We start from the raw sequence: 18,653 nt of genomic DNA, 5'->3' as shown, positions 1-18,653 counted from the left end.
GGGCAACATGGTGAAACCCCCATCTCTACTAAAATACAAAAAATTTGCCAGGAGTGGCGGCATGCACTTGTAGTCCCAGCTACTTGGAAGGACGAGGCAGGAGAATTGGTTGAATCCGGGAGGGGGAGGTTGCAGTGAGCCAAGATCATGCCACTGCACTCCAGCCTGGGCAACGGAGCGAGACTCCGTCTCAAAAAAAAAAAAAAAAAAGGTAAAAGGAGGGGCCAGGTGCGGTAATCCCAGCACTTTGGAAGTCCAAGGAGGGCGGATCACGAGGTCAAGAGATCGAGACCATCCTGGCCAACATGGTGAAACCCTGTCTCTATTAAAAATACAAAAATTAGCTGAGCATAGTGGCGTGTGCCTGTAGTCCTAGCTATTCAGGAGGATGAGGCAGGTGAATCACTTGAACCCAGGAGGCGGAGGTTGCAGTGAGCCAAGATCGCGCCACTGCACTCCAGCCTGGTGACAGAGCAAGACTCTGTCTCAAAAGAAAAGAAAAGAAAAAAAGTGCTGGGCGTGGTGGCACACGTCTGTAATCCCAGCACTTTGGGAGTCCGAGGTGCGCGGATCACCTGAGGTTGGGAGTTCAAGACCAGCCTGACCAACATGGTGAAACCCCATCTCTACGAAATACAAAAAATTAGATGGGTGTGGTGGTGTATGCCTGTAATCCCAGCTACTCGGGAGGCTGAGGCAGGAGAATTGCTTGAACCTGGGAGGTGGAGGTAGCAGTAAGCCAAGATTGCACCACTGCACTCCAGCCTGGGCAACAAGAGGGAATCTCCATCTAAAAAAAAAAAAAAAAAAAGTAAAAGTAAAAGTTGATGAAATTAATTTTAATAATGATTTTTTTTTTTTTTTAGACAGCGTCTCGCTCTGTTGCCCAGGCTGGAGTGCAGTGGAGCAATCTCGGCTCACTGCAACCTCGGCCCCCCGCCCACAATGCGTTCAAATGATTCTCATGCCTCAGCCTCCTACATAGCGTGTGCCATCGCACCCAGCTAACTTTTTGTATTTTAGGTAGAGATGGGGTTTTGCCATGTTGGCCAAGCTGGTCTTGAACTCCTGGCCTCAAGTGATCCACCCACCTGGGCCTCCCAAAGTGCTGGGATTACAGGCATGGGCCACTGCACCTGGCCTAATAATGAATTTTATTTAGCCTACTATATCAAAAATATTACTGTTGCAACAGGTAATTAATATTTTAAAATTATAAATGAGATCACTGACATTCTTTGTGGTCACATGAAGTCTTCAAGTCCGGCATGTATTTTATACTTTATAGCACATGCCACTCAGTGCTGGGCAGGTTTCACACTCTCGGTGGTGGCACAGGGGCAGTGAGCTCTTTACCTTCTCCACTGTTCCTCACAGCCTTTGCCAAAGTTTGGGAAGTGGAGGAGATGACAGTACCGTGAGAGGCAGGATGACCGCATCTGTCTTATTTGATGCAAATCCCTCAGGGATTAAGTCTGGCACAAGGGAGATATCGGTCTAAGGCTCAGGAGGACAAGGACTTAGTCCATTTGGTTCTCTGCTGTGATGGTTAATACTGAGTGTCAACTTGATTGTATTGAAAGATATAAAGTATTAATCCTGGGTGTGTCTGTGAGGGTGTTGCCAAAAGAGATTAACATTTGAGTCAGTGGCCGGGGAAGGCAGACCCACCCTTAATCTGGTGGGCACAATCCAATCAGCTGCCACGGAACATAAAACAGGCAGAAAACTAAGAGAGAGAGAGACAGGTGGCCGGGCGCGGTGGCTCACGCCTGTAATCCCAGCACTTTGGGAGGCGGAGACGGGCGGATCACCTGAGATCGGGAGTTCGAGACCAGCCTGACCAACATGGAGAAATCCCGTCTCTACTAAAAATACAAAATTAACCAGGCGTGGTGGTGCATGCCTGTAATCCCAGCTACTTGGGAGGATGAGGCAGAAGAATCGCTTGAACCCGGAAGGCTGAGGTGGCGGTGAGCCGAGATCGTGCCATTGCACTCCAGCCTGGGCAACAAGAGCGAGACTGTCTCAAAAAAGAAAGAAAGAAAGAAAGAAAGAGACAGGCCTAACTTCACAGCCTACATCTTTCTCCCAAAGTTCTTCAGTTTTGGAACCTGGACCGGCTCTCCATGCTCCTCAGCTTGCAGACAGCCAGCCTGTTGTGGGACCTTGTGATCGTGTAAATTAATACTTAATAAACTCCTATATATATATATGACTTATATATATATATGATTATATATATCCTACTAGTTCTGTCCCTCTAAGAGAACCCTAATACACCTGTGCTATCCTTAGCATCAAGCATGGTGCCTGGCAAATAGTGAGTGCTCAATGAATTTGGTTGGTTTGTTGAATGGCAGAATGGGTGTCTGGCCCTTGACCTCATTGGCTACAACAGAAGGGACCCTGGGACTCATAGGGTTACCCGTTTTTATCATCTGACAAGAGAGGACATAAGCGTATGAAAAACCTGGAAGGACGTGGGTGTTCTGGGAAGACAGATGAGGAAGTATTAAGGGGGGAAAGTCAAGTCAAAGGCTCTGTTCCTCGGGCAGATCTGGAAGTGGGGTGACACCCTCTGGGGACAGTGGGAGCTGCTGCATCCCTGGGAGTTAAAAAGCCACAGGCATAGGCCAGGCGCAGTGGCTCACACCTATAATCACGGGACTCTGGGAGGCCAAGGCAGGAAAACTGCTTGAACCCAGGAGTTCAAGACCAGCAGCATAGGCAACAGTGAGATGCCCCATCTCCACAAAAAAATTAAAAAATTAGCCGAGAATGTTGGTGCACACTTGCAGTCCCAGCTATTCCGGAGGCTGAGGTGGGAGGATTGCTTGAGCCCAGGAAGTCGAGGCTGCAGTGAGACATGTTCACGCCACTGCACTCCAGCCTGGGCAACAGAGCAAGACCCTATCTCTTAAAAAAAACAAACAAACAGAGATCCTTCACTTGCCCCGTAAAACTCAATGGTTAGGCTACATCCAAACCACATCCCAAGTTCAGGAAATCCTCTTCTCTCTGCACTTCTCTCTGAGATGACAACAATAAGAATGATGGCCGGGCGCCGTGGTTCACGCCTGTAATCCCAGCACTTTGGGAGGCCGAGGTGGGCGGATCACGAGGTCAGGAGATTGAGACCATCCTGGCTAACATGGTGAAACCCCATCTCTACTACAAATACAAAAGATTAGCCGGGCGTGGTGGTGGGCGCCTGTAGTCCCAGCTATTCAGGAGGCTGAGGCAGGAGAATGGCGTGAACCCAGGAGGCGGAGCTTGCAGTGAGCCGAGATCACACCACTGCACTCCAGCCTGGGCGACAAGGCGAGACTCCGCCTCAAAAAAAAGAATGAGGATAGCTGTTGTTTACTGAGCATTTTTCTGGGCCAGGCATGCTGCTAAGATAACTTAATTAACACTTGCAAGACTGTTATTATTTCTCCCACTTTACGGATAAGGAAATTTAGGTCAGAAGTTAAGTGACTTACATAGGCAAGGACACAAATGACATGGGTAGCCGAGCCAGGACTAGAAGAATCCAGCAGTGCCAGTCTGGGAAGTTTAGCCTTTCCAGGGGAGAGCAAGGCTGATGTGCTGGGCCAGCTGTGGCAGCTGCTGTCTGTGGTCTGAGGCTGCCAGTGAGGGCTGGCTCCTGGGTGGGATTTCCCAGGACATTTGGGGGACCCTGAAGGAAACTTTTTTTTTTTTTGAGACGGAGTTTTTCGCTCGTTACCCAGGCTGGAGTGCAACAGCACGATCTCAGCTCACTGCCACTTCCGCCTACCAGGTTCAAGTGATTCTCCTGCCTCAGCCTCCCAAGTAGCTGGGATTATAGGCATGTGCCACAGTGCCCGGCTGTTTTCTTTTAAATATTAGGAAACTTACTGGTGTAGCTCATGCCTGTAATCCCAGCTACTCGGGAGGCTGAGGCAGGAGAATCGCTTGAACCCAGGAGGCAGAGGTTATAGTCAGCCAAGATCACACCATTGCACTCCAGCCTGGGCGACAAGAGTGAAACTCCATCTCAAAAAATTAAATTAATTAACTAAAAGGAAACAAAACACAACCCAACACTTGCTCATTGGTTCATGCCCACTCTCTCCAGCCTTGCTCTCCTGGTTTCACTCAGTTACTTCCTGTCCATCTTCCAGCTCTGGTTCCACTCCTGTTACAGCCAATGTGAAAATGTCTCCTTCGACCAGGCGCGGTGGCTCACAGCTGTAATCCCAGCACTTTGGGAGGCTAAGGTGGGTGGATCACTTGAGGTCAGGAGTTCATGACTAGCCTGATCAGCATGGTGAAACCCCGTCTCTACTAAAAAAGTGCAAAATTAAGCCAGGCGCAGTGGCTCACGCCTGTAATCCCAGCACTTTGGGAGGCTGAGGCGGGTGGATCACAAGGTCAAGAGTTCAAGACCAGCCTGGCCAAGATGGTGAAACCCCATCTCTACTAAAAATACAAAAATTAGGCCGGGCGCAGTGGCTCACACCTGTAATCCTAGCACTTTGGGAGGCCGAGGTGGGCGGATCACTTGAGGTCAGGAGTTTGAAACCAGCTTGGCCATGATGGTGAAACCCTGTCTCTACTAAAAATACAAAAAATTAGCCGGGCATGGTGGTGCGTGCCTGTAATCCCAGCTACTTGGGAGGCTGAGGCAGGAGAATCACTTGAACCTGGGAGGTGGAGGTTGCAGCGAGCCAAGATCGTGCCACCACACTTAAGCCTGGGTGACAGAGTGAGACTCCACCTCAAATAAAATACATACATACATACATACATACATACAAAAATTAGCCAGGCGTGGTGGCAGGTGCCTGTAATCCCAGCTACTCAGGAGGCTGAGGGATGAGAATCGCTTGAGCACGGGAGGCAGACAGAGGTTGCAGTGAGCTGAGATCGTGCCACTGCACTCCAGCCTGGGCAACAGAGCAATACTCTGTCTCCAAAAAAAAAAAAAAAAAAAAAAATAGCCGGGTATGGTGGTACGTGCCTGTGGTCCCAGCTACTCAGGGGCTGAGGTGGGAAGATCAGCTGAACCCAGGAGGCAGAGGGTCCAAGGAGCCATGACTGTGCCACTGGACTCCAACCTGGGTGACAGAGCAAGCCTGTCGCAAAAAATAAACCAAAACCGGCCGGGCGCAGTGACTTATGCCTGTAATCCCAGCACTTTGGGAGGCCGAGGCGGGTGGATTACGAGGTCAAGAGATCCAGACCATCCTGGCTAACACAGTGAAACCCTGTCTCTACTAAAAATACAAAAAATTAGCTGGGCATGGTGGTGGGCATCTGTAGTCCCAGCTATTTGGGAGGCTGAGGCTGGAGAATCATTTGAACCCATGAGGCGGAGGTTGCAGTAAGCCGAGATCGAGCCGCTGCACTCCATCCTGGGCCACTGCACTCCAGCCTGGGTGACAGGGCGAGACTCTGTCTCAAAAAAAAAAAAAAAAAAAGAGAAACCAAAACCAAAACAAACAAACAAAAACCCTACAAGAATAAAGACTGATTTCGTGAGCTTTCTTTCACTACCTGCCAGACACAGCCTAAGCTGGGCCTGAATATCTTGGGACCTGGCTCTTAACGTGGTCTAGTGCTTCCTCCTTCCCGAGAAAGGGTAGGAGGATAACAGGGATTTGGCCACAGCTAACTTGTAATATGATCTGATCCAGGAATGTGAGGCCTCCAGCTGGTGCAGTCATGAGCTGTTCCAGGATTCTTGGACTGGCCGCTTTCAAATGCTCTGCACCTGTTCTCCACAGTGCAGTTGTACTAACGAGACACAGCATGAGTTCCCATGTTCAGTTTAGAAAGTGGAGTCATCTAAACTGAAGGGGAAAAATGAACAATATTCCAGGGGGAAATGGATTCCAGCTGGGGAGCCGGAGGAGGCCTTCTCGGTGCAGGTGCTTTTGAGGCCAGGCCTTAAAGGAAGAGCAGAGTTTAATCAGCGGAGACTGTGGAGGAACATTCCAGATGGAGGGACCAGCATGAACAAAGGCCTGGGGATGGGAGTGTCTGAGCACCGGGAGGACATCCCACGCTGTCTGGTAGCCACTAGAGATGTGGCCCCACCTGAGGGGAGGTGCACTCCTACAGGAATGGGGGGCCTGGCTGGGTGCGGTGGCTCAGGCCTGTCATCCCAGCACTTTGGGAAGCCAAGGCGGGCGGATCACTTGAGGTCAGGAGTTCGAGAACAGCCTGGCCAATATGGTGAAACTCCGTCTCTACTAAAAGTACAAAAATTAGCCGGGCGTGGTGGTGCACACCTATAATCCCAGCTACTTGGAAGGCTGAGGCAGGAGATTCGCTTGAGCTTGGGAGACGAAGGTTGCTGTGAGCCGAGATCACACCACTGCACTCCAGCCTGGGCGACAGGCAACAGAGCAAGACTCTGTCTCCAAAAAAAAAAAAGGAATGGGGGCCTGGAGCTAAAAATACAACACTGGGTCCGAACGAACCAGCAGCAGGGGGCCCTTGCACAGACCCAGAAGCTCACAGCAGGGAGGGACATCTGAGCCTTAGCAGTGAACACACACACAGGATAAAAGCAAGTCTCCGAGGGGCTCAACAACACAGGGGTTCCCTGGGACTCCTGGCATCCTCTCTTCAAACCACAGCCAGTCTTTATAATTTTGCCCTCCATTTCCCATCAGACACTGGAGAAAGAGAGGAGGCAAAGACCAGAGACTGGGGAATAAAAGAACAAATGAGGGTAAGATTTACAACTTGGAAACTCTGGTCCAGCTTGGTAGCTCACGTCTGTAATCCTAGCACTTTGAGAAGCCGAGGAGGGTGGATCACCTGAAGTCAGGAGTTTGAGACCATCCTGACCAACATAGTGAAACCCCGTCTCTACTGAAAATACAAAACTTAGCCGGGCGTGGTGGCGGATGCCTGTAATCCCAGCTACTTGGGCAGCTGAGGCAGAAGAATTGCTTGAACCAAGGAGGCGGAGGTTGCAGTGAGCTGAGATCATGCCACTGCACTCCAGCCTGGGCGACAGAGTGAGACTCAGTCTTCAAAAATAAATAAATAAATAAAACTTGGAAACTCTGGGAGGCCAAGACAGGGAGATCACTTGAGGCCAGGAGTTCAAGACCAGCCTGGCCCACACGGTGAAACCCTGTCTCTACTAAAAATACAAAAATTAGCCAGGCATGGTGGTACGTGCCCGTAGTCCCAGTGACGCAGGAGGCTGAGGCACAAGAATCGCTTGAACCTGGGAGGCAGAGGTTGCAGTGAGCTGGGATCACGCCACTGTACTCCAGCCTGGGGGACAGAGCGAGACTGTCCCAAAAAAACAATAATAAAAATAACAAACTTAAAAAAAGAATTGGCCAGGCGCGGTGGCTCACGCCTATAATCCCAGCACTTTGGGAGGCCGAGGCAGGCAGATCACGAGGTCAGGAGATCAAGACCATCCTGGCTAACACGGTGAAACCCCATCTCTATTAAAAATACAAAACAATTGGCTGGGCATGGTGGCGAGCTCCTGTAGTCCCAACTACTCAGGAGGCTGAGGCAGGAGAATGGCGTGAACCCGGGAGGCGGAGGTTGCAGCGAGCCGAGATCGCACCATTGCACTCCAGCCTGGGGGACAGAGCAAGACTCCGTCTCAAAAAAAAAAAAAAAAAAAGAACCAGAACTTGGAAACTCTGGTTGAGTATAAGAAGCAATGAAAAATTATTGAAGGGTTGGGTTTGAGAAAGGAAATGAAAAGAAAAGAGGCAGCTCTCAAAGCAGCCTCCCAAATAAAGAACAGGAATGGCCAAGTCCCAGGAAGCCATCCCACCTGCTCCCTTTCTGTGCCCATGGCAGCATTCCTGAACTACAGTCCTCTTCCTGCTCAACCGCTTGAGAATATTCCTCAACATGGAGACCCAGGAAGACACAACAACTAGTGAAGCTGACATGTGAGGTGGAGGTGGTAGGATAAGGGTAGGATGAAGGAGGGTCATTGGCAGCAGAATTTAGTAATCAAGTCTTGCCCTATGTAGCGTAGGCCGGTATCTCAGAAGTGTAGGCCCTGGAGAAATAGATCTCAAAATCTAACCTGATGTCAAAAAAGTGAGACAACGACCCACAGAGTGGGAGAAAATATGTGTACACCATATGTCTGAGAAGGGTCTGGTACCCAGAATATACAAATCACTCTTTTTTTTTTTTTGGAGACAGAATCTCACACTGTCACACTGTCACCCGGGCTGGAGTGCAGTAGTGTGATCTCAGCTCACTGCAACTTCTGCCTCCTAGGTTCAAGCGGTTCTCCTGCCTCAGCCTTCCGAGTAGCCGGGATTACAGGCGCCTGCTACCATGCCCAGCTAATTTTTTGTATTTTTAGTAGAGATGGGATTTCACCATGTTGGCCAGGCTTGTCTCAAACTCCCGACCTCGTAATTCTCCCGCCTCAGCCTCCAAAGTGCTGGGATTACAGGCATGAGCCACTGCGGCCGGCCTTTTTTTTTTTCTTTTTTGAGGCGGAGTTTTTGCTCTGTTTTGCAGGCTGGAGTGCAATGGCGCAATCTCAGCTCACTGCAACCTCCGCCTCCCGGGTTCAAGGGATTCTCCTGCCTCAGCCTCCCAAGTAGCTGGGATTACAGGCACGCACCACCACGCCTGGCTAATTTGTTGTATTTTTAGTAGAGATAAGGTTTCACCATGTTGCCCAGGCTGGTCTCGAAATCCTGACCTCAGGTGACCTGCTCGCCTCGGCCTCGCAAAGTGCTGAGATTACACGTGTGAGCCACCGTGCCCGTGCCCAGCTTAAGAACTCTTTTATTAAGATTTTTATTTATGTTTTAGAGAAAATCTCACTCTGTCACCAGGCTGGAGTGCAGTGGCATGATCATAGCTCACTGCAGCCTCCAACTCCTGGGCTCAAGCAATCCACAAAATTAGCTGGGCGTGGTGGTGCACACCTGTAGTCTCAGCTGCTTGGGAGGCTGAGGCAGGAGAATTGCTCAAACCCAGGAGGCAGAGGTTGCAGTGAGCCAAGATTGCACCACTGCACTCCAGCCTGGGCGACAGAGTGAGATTCCATCTCAAAAAAAAAAAAAATTATTATATATATATAAATAACTCTTACAACTCAAGAACAAAAAGGCAAACAACCACTGAAAAAAAAAAGGCTGGCTGGGTGCGGTAGCTGACGCCTGTAATCCCAGCACTTTGGGAGGCTGAGGCGGGTGGATCACGAGGTCAGGAGTTAAAGGCCAGCCTAGCCAACATGGTGAAACCCCGTCTCTACTAAAAATACACAAATTAGCCAGGCATGGTGGCGTGTGCCTGTAATCCCAGCTACTCAGGAGGCTGAGGCAGGAGAATTGCTTAAACCCAGGAGGCGGAGGTTGTAGTGAGCTGTGATCGCACCATTGCACTCCAGCCTGGGTGACAGAGTGAGACTCCATCTCCAAAAAAAAAAAAAAAAAATGGACCAAGGACTTGAATAGGTATTTCTTCAAAGAAGATATACACATGGCCGATGAGCACATGAAAAGATGCTCAATATCACCAGCCAGCAGGGAAATGCAAATCAAAACCACTATGAGATACAACTTTGTACCCACTAGCATGGCCATCATCCAAAAAAATGGAAAATAACAAGTGTTGACAAAGATACAGAGATACTGGAACATTCATACATTGTTGGTGGAAATGTAAAATAGTGCAGCTACTGTGGAAAAGAGTTTAGTGGTTTCTCAGAGTTAAACACAGAATTCTCATATGACCCAGAAATTCTACTCCTGGATATATACCCCAACACATGGAAAACAGATGTTCTAACAAAAAAGTATACACGAATGTTCATATCATCATTATTCACAATAGCCAAAGGCAGAAACAATCCCAAATTCCATCAGCTGATGAATGGATAGACACAAGGAAAGAAGTGCTGACACATGGTACCACATGGATGAAGCTGAAAGGCGTTATGCTAAGGGAAAGAAGCTGAACACAAAAGGCCAGGTATTGCATGATTCCCTTTGTACAAAATGTCCATCCTGCCTTAGATTGCAAAAATAATTTTTAAAAAAAGGTCAGGCACGGTGCCTTACACCTGTAATCCCAGCACGTTGGAAGGCCGAGGTGGGCAGATCACTTGAGGTCAGGAGTTCAAGACCAGCCTGGCCAACATGGTGAAACCTCGTCTCTACTAAAAATACAAAAATTAGCCGGGTGTGGTGGCAGATACCTGCAGTCCCAGCTACTCAGGAGGCTGACGCAGGAGAATCACTTAAACATGGGAGGCAGTTTGCAGTGGGCCAAAAATCACACCACTGCACTTCAGCCTGGGCAACAGAGTAAGACTGTATCTCAATTAAAAAAACAAAAACAAAAACAAAACAAAACACTCAAAATGCCCAGAACAGGCAAATCCACAGAGACAAAAAGCTGGTATTTCACTAGTTAATTTCTCCTCTGAAGAGAATGGAAGAGAGCACAGGAGTGTTCAGCTCACCCTCCCAGGGCTGGGATGGAGGCTGAGCGCTTGGGAAAAGCTGCTGCTCACAGCCCTTGGGGAACTTTTGCAGGTGGGGACCTGACCTGTGGGAACATAGTCCAAGGAAGCCCAATTATCTCATTATTCTTGGTGCATTTTAGATTCCACACCTGGGCCCCAATGGTGTGTCATTCCCCCTCCAGCTATGGTCCTCCTCTGGGAGGCTAGAGACCTGTGGCATAGGAGCACCCCCTGCCTTTGTGAGCACAGGCCTGCCAGGACTTTTTTTTTTTTTTTTTTTTTGAGACAGAGTTTCACTCTTGTCGTCCGGGCTGGAATGCAATGGTGCAATCTCTGCTCACTGCAACCTCCGCCTCCTGGGTTCAAGCGATTCTCCTGCCTCAGCCTCCCGAGTAGCTGGGATTACAGGTGGGTACCACCACGCCTGGCTAATTTTTGAATTTTTAGTAGAGACAGGGTTTCACCATGTTGGTCAGACTGGTCTCAAACTCCTGATCTCATGATCCACCTGCCTCAGCCTCCCAAAATGCTGGGATTACAAGCGTAAGCCACCATGCCCAGCCATCCCAGCGCTTTGAAAGGCCAAGGTAGGAAGATCGCTTGGGCCCAGGGGTTCAAGATTAGCCTGGGCAACAGAGGGAAATGCCATTTCTACAAAAAATTTAAAAATTAGCCAGGTGTGGTGATTAATGCCTGTGGTCCCAACTACTCAGGAGGCTAAGGCAGGAGGATCACTTCAGCCCAAGAAATTGAGGCTGCAGGGAGCCATGTGTGTGCCACTGCACTCTAGCCTGGGCGAGAGGGCAAGACCTTGTCTAAAAACAAAACAAACAAATAAACAAAACAGAGAGGAGAGGAGAAAGCGGCAGAATGAAATGCAACAAAGAAGAAAATCTTTCCACCTCGCCTTGGACACTAAACCCTCTTGTCATTCCGTAGGCATCGTCCCAGGACCTGGGCACTGTGGATGTGGAGCCCAGGGCTGGGGTGGGGGTGCAGAAACAGAACTCAAAGAGGGGCTTACAATTCTGTTGAGGAGAGGCATGCACACATTTAAATGCCATCACACACACACACACACACAAAAGAAAAAGGAAAAATTAAATAAAATGCCATCACAAAAGACCATATCCTCCAAAAGTACAATTGTGGAGGTATAAAAAAAAAATTAATAGTATAGGCCAGGAGCAGTGGCTCACGCCTGTAAACCCAACACTTTGGGAGGCTGAGGCGCGCGGATCACGAGGTTAGGAGATTGAGACCATCCTGGCCAACATGGTGAAACCCCGTCTGTACTAAAAATACAAAAATTAGCTGGGCATGGTGGCGTGTGCCAGTAATCCCAGCTACTTGGGAGGCTGAAGCAGAAGAATCACTTGAACCTGGGAGGCGGAGGTTGCAGTGAGCCCCGAATGCGCCACTGCACTCCGGCCTGGTGACAAAGCGAGACTCCGTCTCAAAAAAAAAAAAATTAATTGTACAGTAATAATTGAAAAGGTTATGTATTAGTCAGGTTGGCTACCGACAGATAACCCCAGCATTTGAGTGGTGCATCACAACAAACTTTTTTTATTTATTTTTTCAACGGACCGGGTCTTGCTGTGTCACCCAGGCTGGAGTACAGTGGTGCCATCACAACTCACTGCAGCCTCAAACTCCTGCGCTCAAGCCATCCTCCTGCCTCAGTGTCTCGAGTACCTGGGATTACAGGTGCATACCACCATGCCTGGCTAATTTTTGAATGATTTTAGAGATGGGAGTCTCACTGTGTTCCCCAGACTGGTCTCAAACTCGTGGCCTCAAGTGATCTTCCCGTGTCAGGCTCCTGAGTAGCTGGGATTATAGGCACCAGCACAAAAGTTTATTTTTTTGTCTCCCACACAGCAGTCCCAAGTGGGTTTTGCTCTGTTCCAAGTGGCGCTGCAAGGACTCTGGAAACGTCACCTCCTGGTTCCACTCCCACTTCCAGTTGTGTTAACAAGGAAACACAGGCCGGGAAGCATGCCCATCACTCTGGCCTCATTCCATCATCCATACCTGTCTTATGGCCCCATCTAACTACACAGGGGGCTGGGAATTGTAGTCCAGTGGTGTGCCCTGGAGGAAAAGTAAATGAGGATTGCTGAACACCCAGTAGTCTCTGTCACAGCTACTGTTTACTGAGACTCTACTACATGTCTGGCACCATGCTAAGCATGCTACATGCATGTTATCATTTCATCCTTTTTTTTTTTTTTTGAGATGGAGTCTCACTCTGTCACCCAGGCTGGAGTGCATTGGCGCGATCTCCGCTCACTGCAACCTCCACCACCCAGGTTCAAGCAATTCTCCTGCCTCAGCCTCCCGATTAGCTGGGATTACAGACGCGCGCCACCATACCTGGCTAATTTTTTTGTATTTTTAGTAGAGACGGGGTTTCACCATGTTGGTCAGGCTGGTCTTGAACGCCTGACCTCAGGTGATGATCCACCTGCCTCAGCCTTCCAAAGTGCTGGGATTACAGACGTGAGCCACCATGCCCGGCCTTTTTTTTTTTTTTTTTTTTGAGACAGTCTCACTCTGTTGCTCAGGCTAGAGTGCAGTGGCGAGATCTCAGCTCACCGCAACCTCCGCCTCCTGGGTTCAAGTGATTCTCCTGCCTCAGCCTCCCAAGTAGCTGGGATTACAGGCAATCGCCACCATGCCCGGCTAATTTCTGTATTTTTAGTAGAGACAGGGTTTCATCACAATGGCCAGGCTGGTCTTGAACTCCTGACCTCAGGCTGGTCTTGAACACCTCAGGTGATCCGCCCACCTAGGCTGCCCTAAGTGCTGGGATTACAGACCTGAGCCACCGCGCCCAGCCGAATTTCATCCTTAACATCAGTTCTCATTTACAGAGGAGGAAACTGAGTCTCAGAAAGTTTAAGTAAATTTTATAAGGTAAAATGTGCATGCTTGGAGAACCAATGTGGAACAAGAGCCTTCTGACCCCAAAGCCTGTGGCAGACAATGAAATAAGGACAGATAACATGGCGAGCTCCTACCTGCTCTGAGACAACACCCATTCCCTCAACAGCATCATTTATTAAGTGCAGATTATGGATTAGGCATTATTCTAAGCACCTTCATAATAACTCATTCAATCCTCACAAAAACCCTGCTAGACAGCTACTGTTAATGCCCTTATTTTTTTATTTTTTTTATTTTTTTTGAGACAGAGTCTTGCTCTGTCACCCAGGCTGGAGTGCTGTGACGCAATCTCGGCTCACTGCAACCTCCGCCTCCCGGATTCAAGCAATTCTCCTGCCTTAGCCTCCCGAGTAGCTGGGATTACAGGTATGCACCACCATGCCCGGCTAATTTTTATTTTTAGTAGAGACGGGGTTTCACTATGTTGGTCAGGCTGATCTCCAACTCCTGACGTCGTGATCCACCCGCTTCGGCCTCCCAAAGTGCTGGGATTACAGGCGTGAGCCACAGCACCCGGCCAGTGCCCTTATTTTGAAGATGAGGAAATTGCACAGAGAAGTTATGTGACTTGAAGTCACTCAGCACATGTATGGAAGGGACAGGACTCAAACCTGGGTAGTCTGTCTCCAGTCTACCTACACATTAATTGCCCAGCTTCTGCCTCTCTACAAACAATGAAGTGAAGTGTTGTGGGGCAGAGTCTCCTAAGAGAGGCAGTGGTACCCTGGGGAGGGTGCAAGCTGGTCCCCTGGGATGTGTGTGGGAAATATGATCCTTCTATTTACATTTATCTGTTATCTTAAAAAAAAAATCGGCTGGGCATGGTGGCTCACGCCTGTAATTCCAGCACTTTGGAAGGCCAACATGGGCAGATCACCTGAGGTCAGGAGTTCGAGACCAGACTGGCCAACATGGAGAAACCCCGTCTCTACTAAAAATACAAAAATTAGCTGGACGTGGTGGTGCATGCCTATAATCCCAAACTACTCAGGAGGCTGAGGCAGGAGAATCACTTGAACCCAGGCGGCAGAGGTTGCAGTGAGCCAAGATCACACCACTGCACTCCAGCCTGAGGGATGGAGTGAGACTCTGTCTCAAAATAAAAATAAAAAAAAAAAGAGCGAGGTTAAACTTTACAATATGCATTATACAGACTGATGCCGAGTGGCGTTCAATCTGTGTAATACATGTTAGCAAAATTTAATATCATTCTGACTTTTTTCTTTTTTTAGAATACAGATAAACATAAACAGAAGGCGTCACCTGCAACTCTTGGATAAGTGAATCAGTGCAGTGTGTTTAGTTTTTATTTATTTATTTATTTATTTTGAGACAGAGTCTCCGCTGGGCGCCACCGCACCCAGCCACAGTGTGTTTAGTTTTAACCACACTAACTCACAGTATGGACGAGTGATTTTCTTTGGTATTTTTAAAATTGATATAGGTCTTATTTGGGGGGTATATGTGTTATTTTGATACATGCATACAATGTGTAATGAACGAATCAGGGTGACTGAAATATCCATTACCTCAAACGTTACCTTTTCTTTGTAGACGAGCGATTTTTTTTTTTTTTTTTTTGAGACGGAGTCTCGCTCTGTCGCCCAGGCTGGAGTGCAGTGGCGCAATCTCGGCTCACTGCAAGCTCCGCCTCCCGGGTTCACGCCATTCTCCTGCCTTAGCCTCCGGAGTAGCTGGGACTACAGGCGCCCGCCACCGCGCCCTGCTAATCTTTTGTATTTTTAGTAGAGACGGGGTTTCACCGTGTTAGCCAGGATGGTCTCGATCTCCTGACCTTGTGATCCGCCCGCCTCGGCCTCCCAAAGTGCTGGGATTACAGGCGTGAGCCACCACGCCCGGCCTAGACGAGCGATCCTAAAAGATCCACGCAAAGAAACGACGGCTCACCTGGCGTGGGTGCTGCCTCCGCCTTCAGCACCCACCCTCCCTCACGCACGCCCAGAATCGCGGCGGCCCAGAGCGGAAGGCGGGGCCTGTGGCCACACCCCTTCCCTATTCCCCGCCTTCCGCGCATCTTCCGGGAGCGACTTTGGCTGCATCGTTTTGCGATTGGGAGAGCTGCGGGATGTCGGAAGGACGTGATTGAATGAAATAGCTGCCTCTCATCCATTGGCCAGCTCCGATTGGCCGAGATACCGCCATGGGTTTTGACGAACTTTCACGCCAGCTGGGCTGAGATGCTAGCAGTTGACTCCCGCAGGGTCCCGGCGCCGGCAGCCGTGCTGCGTGTGTTGGGTAGTGCGAGGCGGTCCAGTGCAGCGACAGTCCGGCTCGAGGGCGGAGGGCCAGCCGAAGCGGGGTGGTGGCCGCTGCCCCGGGAAAGACTGTCCAAGATGCTGACAGGAGCTTTGGCTCGTGAGATTGAGAGGAAGTCAGACGCCGTGGTCTGTGTAACCCCCCAGTAAGGTCCCCAGCTTGCAACCGAATTCGGAACCTAGACTTGGAGCCTTCTCCGAAAGCAAATGGACACAACCCATCAGCGGCAGCACACAAACTTGAGTCTGTCGTGGCAGGTGGCGCTTCTGCGGCAGAGCAGTGATCCGCTTGTAGAGATTTATGAGCAAAGGAACCGGAAGAAAAAAATCAAAAAGCTAATTGCTAAAGGCCGGGCGCGGTGGCTCACGCCTGTAACCCAACACTTTGGGAGGCCGAGGCCGGTGGATCACGAGGTCAGGACTTCGAGACCAGCCTGGCCTACCTGGTGAAGCCTCGTCTCTACTAAAAATATAAAAATTAGCCGGGCATGGTGGTGCACGCCTGTAAACCCAGCTACTCAGGAGGCTGAGGCAGGAGAATTGCTTGAATCCGGGAGGCGGAGGTTGCGGTGAGCCGAGATTGCACCACTGCACTCCAGTCTGGGCGACAGAGCGAGACTCCGTCTGGCGGGGTGAGGGGGAAGCTAATTGCTGACAGCGAGGTCTCTCGGTTACAAACCCATCTCCAGAGCCAAGTGGGGGAATTGAGGACATTTGGTCAAAGGAGAAGGATCCAGAACTGTGACCAGCAGAAATTGGTGCATGGCCTCTCATTTCTGTAGTTTTTTATCGGTGGGGGAAAAAGAACAAAACCAAAAACTCCCTGTCCTCGACATAATTCTCTGTAGGAGAAGGAACCTCTGTGGGAATGAGCTTATCTGCAAAGATCATCGTGAAGTTGTTAAAGAAGTTAAATGGAAGACTCGCAAGAAATTCATCACAACAAAAAGCTAAACGTTTTTTTGGATGAAGATTTGTTATCTGTGAGGTGTATGAGGCCCAGGAGAGATCCGGTTCATTTTCTGAGAGAAGATTTTTGGAAGGTTTATATGAATTCTCAGTCACGCTGTACTTTCTGGTGTGATAAAGCTAGGCAGTGGCAAGAATGGCAACAGCCTGAAAACATGCAAAATTTCCATGTTATCAGAAAAACAGGAAAGGATAATGGTAGATCTTACTTCTGATGCCACTTGTTTATTATATTTAATAAGCTGACACGATCCTGTCTAGTGAAAATCCCTGCACGCAGTGCCCCTTGGGCTTGCTGAACAAGGGTAACATGCCACCGGAAGTATATAATGATACCAAAAGATGAAGTCCATCAGTCAGTCACCTTCGTGATAATATCTCCAAGGGACCTAGGGAAATAGTGAGGCTTATGCATATAAAGAGACACCATATGAGGCAGAAATTAGGTGACTTGAACAGCATTCTGCTTTAGAGTTGTTTTGAAAATACTCCCGGCCGGGCGCGGTGGCTCATGCCTGTAATCCTAGCACTTTGGGAGGCCAAGGCGGGCGAATCACTAGGTCAGGAGTTCGAGACCAGCCTGACCAACATGGTGAAACCTCGTCTCTACTAAAAATACAAAAATTAGCCAGGCGTGGTGGCATGTACCTGTAATCCCAGCTACTCAGAAGGCTGAGGCAGGAGAATCGCTTGAACCTGGGAGGCGGAGGTTGCGGTGAGCCGAGATCGCGTCAGTGCACTCCAGCCTAGGTGACAGAGCGAGATTTCTTGTCTCAAAAAAAAGAAAGAAAGAAAATACTCCCAAGTCAGATTTTTTTTTTTTTGAGACATAGCCTCACTCTCTCCCAGGCCGGAGTGCAGTGGTACAATTAACAGCTCACTGCAGCCTCAACCTCCCAGGCTCAAGAGATCCTTCCATCTCAGCCTCCTGAGTAGCAGGGACTACAGGCATACACTGCAATGCCAGGCTAATTAAAAAAAAAAAAATTTGTAGGCCGGGCACGGTGGCTCAGGCCTGTAATCCCAGCACTTTGGGAGGCCGAGGCAGGCGGATCACGAGGTCAGGAGATTGAGACCATCCTGGCTAACACGGTGAAACCCCGTCTCTACTAAAAATAGAAAAAATTAGCTGGGCATGGTGGCAGGTGCCTGTAGTCCCAGCTACTCAGGAGGCTGAGGCAGGAGAAGGGCGTGAACCCAGGAGGCGGAGCTTGCAGTGAGCCGAGATCGCGCCACTGCAGTCCAGCCTAGGCGACAGAGAGAGACTCTGTCTCAAAAAAAAAAAAAGGAAAAAAAAGCATATTTTGTAGAGACTGGGATCTCACTATGTTGCCTAGGCTGGTCTCAAACTCCTAAGCTCAAGCAATCCTCCCACCTCAGCCTCCCAAAGTGCTGGGATTATAGGTATGAATGCCCAGCCCCAAATTAGGTCATTAAGAGCATTCCAGATCATTAAAATTATCTAGGGAGATAAAAACACACAGGATTGTTCATCAGTGTAGGAACACCCAAAAGTAATCTTCAATTGTTTACTTGTATCTTGGTAACCAAAGACCATTGTGTTCTTCAGAACCAGTAAGGGGCATGCATGCTGAAACATGAATAGTAACTCATACTACACAAACAGCCAGTGCACTCTGACTTCACGTCCTAGCCCTGTGCAGGTGCTTTACATGCATCAATTCATTAAATCCTTACGACAACCCTCTGCAGCAGGTACTATTATTACCCCACTTTATTTTATTTTTATTTATTTATTTATTTTTTTGAGACAGGGTCTCACTGTTGCCCAGGCTGGAGTGCAGTGGTGCGATCTCGGCTCACTGCAACCTCCGCCGCCCAGGTTCCAGTGATTCTCTTGCCTCAGCCTCCTGAATAGCAGGGATTACAGGCGTCTGCCACCATGCCTGGCTAATTTTTGCATTTTTAGTAGAGGCAAGGTTTCACCATGTTGGCAAGGCTGGTCTTGAACTCCTGACCTCAAGTGATCCATCTGC

General features: G+C 49.2%; 1 protein-coding gene across 1 annotated transcript in view, besides 3 other annotated features; it reads right to left on the bottom strand.

The window, feature by feature from the left end:
* Positions 1-15,400, bottom strand: part of PRRC2B (proline rich coiled-coil 2B) — a 126,543-nt gene extending 111,143 nt beyond the window's left edge. The window contains exon 1 of the mRNA NM_001384822.1: positions 15,320-15,400. The gene's annotated coding sequence lies outside the window, so the exon portion shown is untranslated. The remainder of the gene's footprint in view (positions 1-15,319) is intronic.
* Positions 15,184-15,707: an enhancer, noted in NCBI's record as "NANOG-H3K27ac-H3K4me1 hESC enhancer chr9:134248731-134249254 (GRCh37/hg19 assembly coordinates)". NCBI's record gives its function as "activates a minimal SCP1, AML or CMV promoter by ChIP-STARR-seq in primed H9 embryonic stem cells {active_cell/tissue: H9 hESC(primed)}" and the evidence as "EXISTENCE:reporter gene assay evidence [ECO:0000049][PMID:30033119]".
* Positions 15,572-15,691: an enhancer, noted in NCBI's record as "active region_29186". NCBI's record gives its function as "activates an Ori minimal core promoter by ATAC-STARR-seq in GM12878 lymphoblastoid cells {active_cell/tissue: GM12878}" and the evidence as "EXISTENCE:reporter gene assay evidence [ECO:0000049][PMID:35858748]".
* Positions 15,708-16,229: an enhancer, noted in NCBI's record as "NANOG-H3K27ac-H3K4me1 hESC enhancer chr9:134248209-134248730 (GRCh37/hg19 assembly coordinates)". NCBI's record gives its function as "activates a minimal SCP1, AML or CMV promoter by ChIP-STARR-seq in primed H9 embryonic stem cells {active_cell/tissue: H9 hESC(primed)}" and the evidence as "EXISTENCE:reporter gene assay evidence [ECO:0000049][PMID:30033119]".

The sequence above is a fragment of the Homo sapiens genome, chromosome 9, assembly GCF_000001405.40.
Source record: "Homo sapiens chromosome 9, GRCh38.p14 Primary Assembly".
In the NCBI taxonomy this organism is placed as follows: Eukaryota; Metazoa; Chordata; class Mammalia; order Primates; family Hominidae; genus Homo; species Homo sapiens.
Note: the sequence above shows the minus strand (reverse complement) of the source record. Positions and strands in the feature narration are given on the sequence as shown.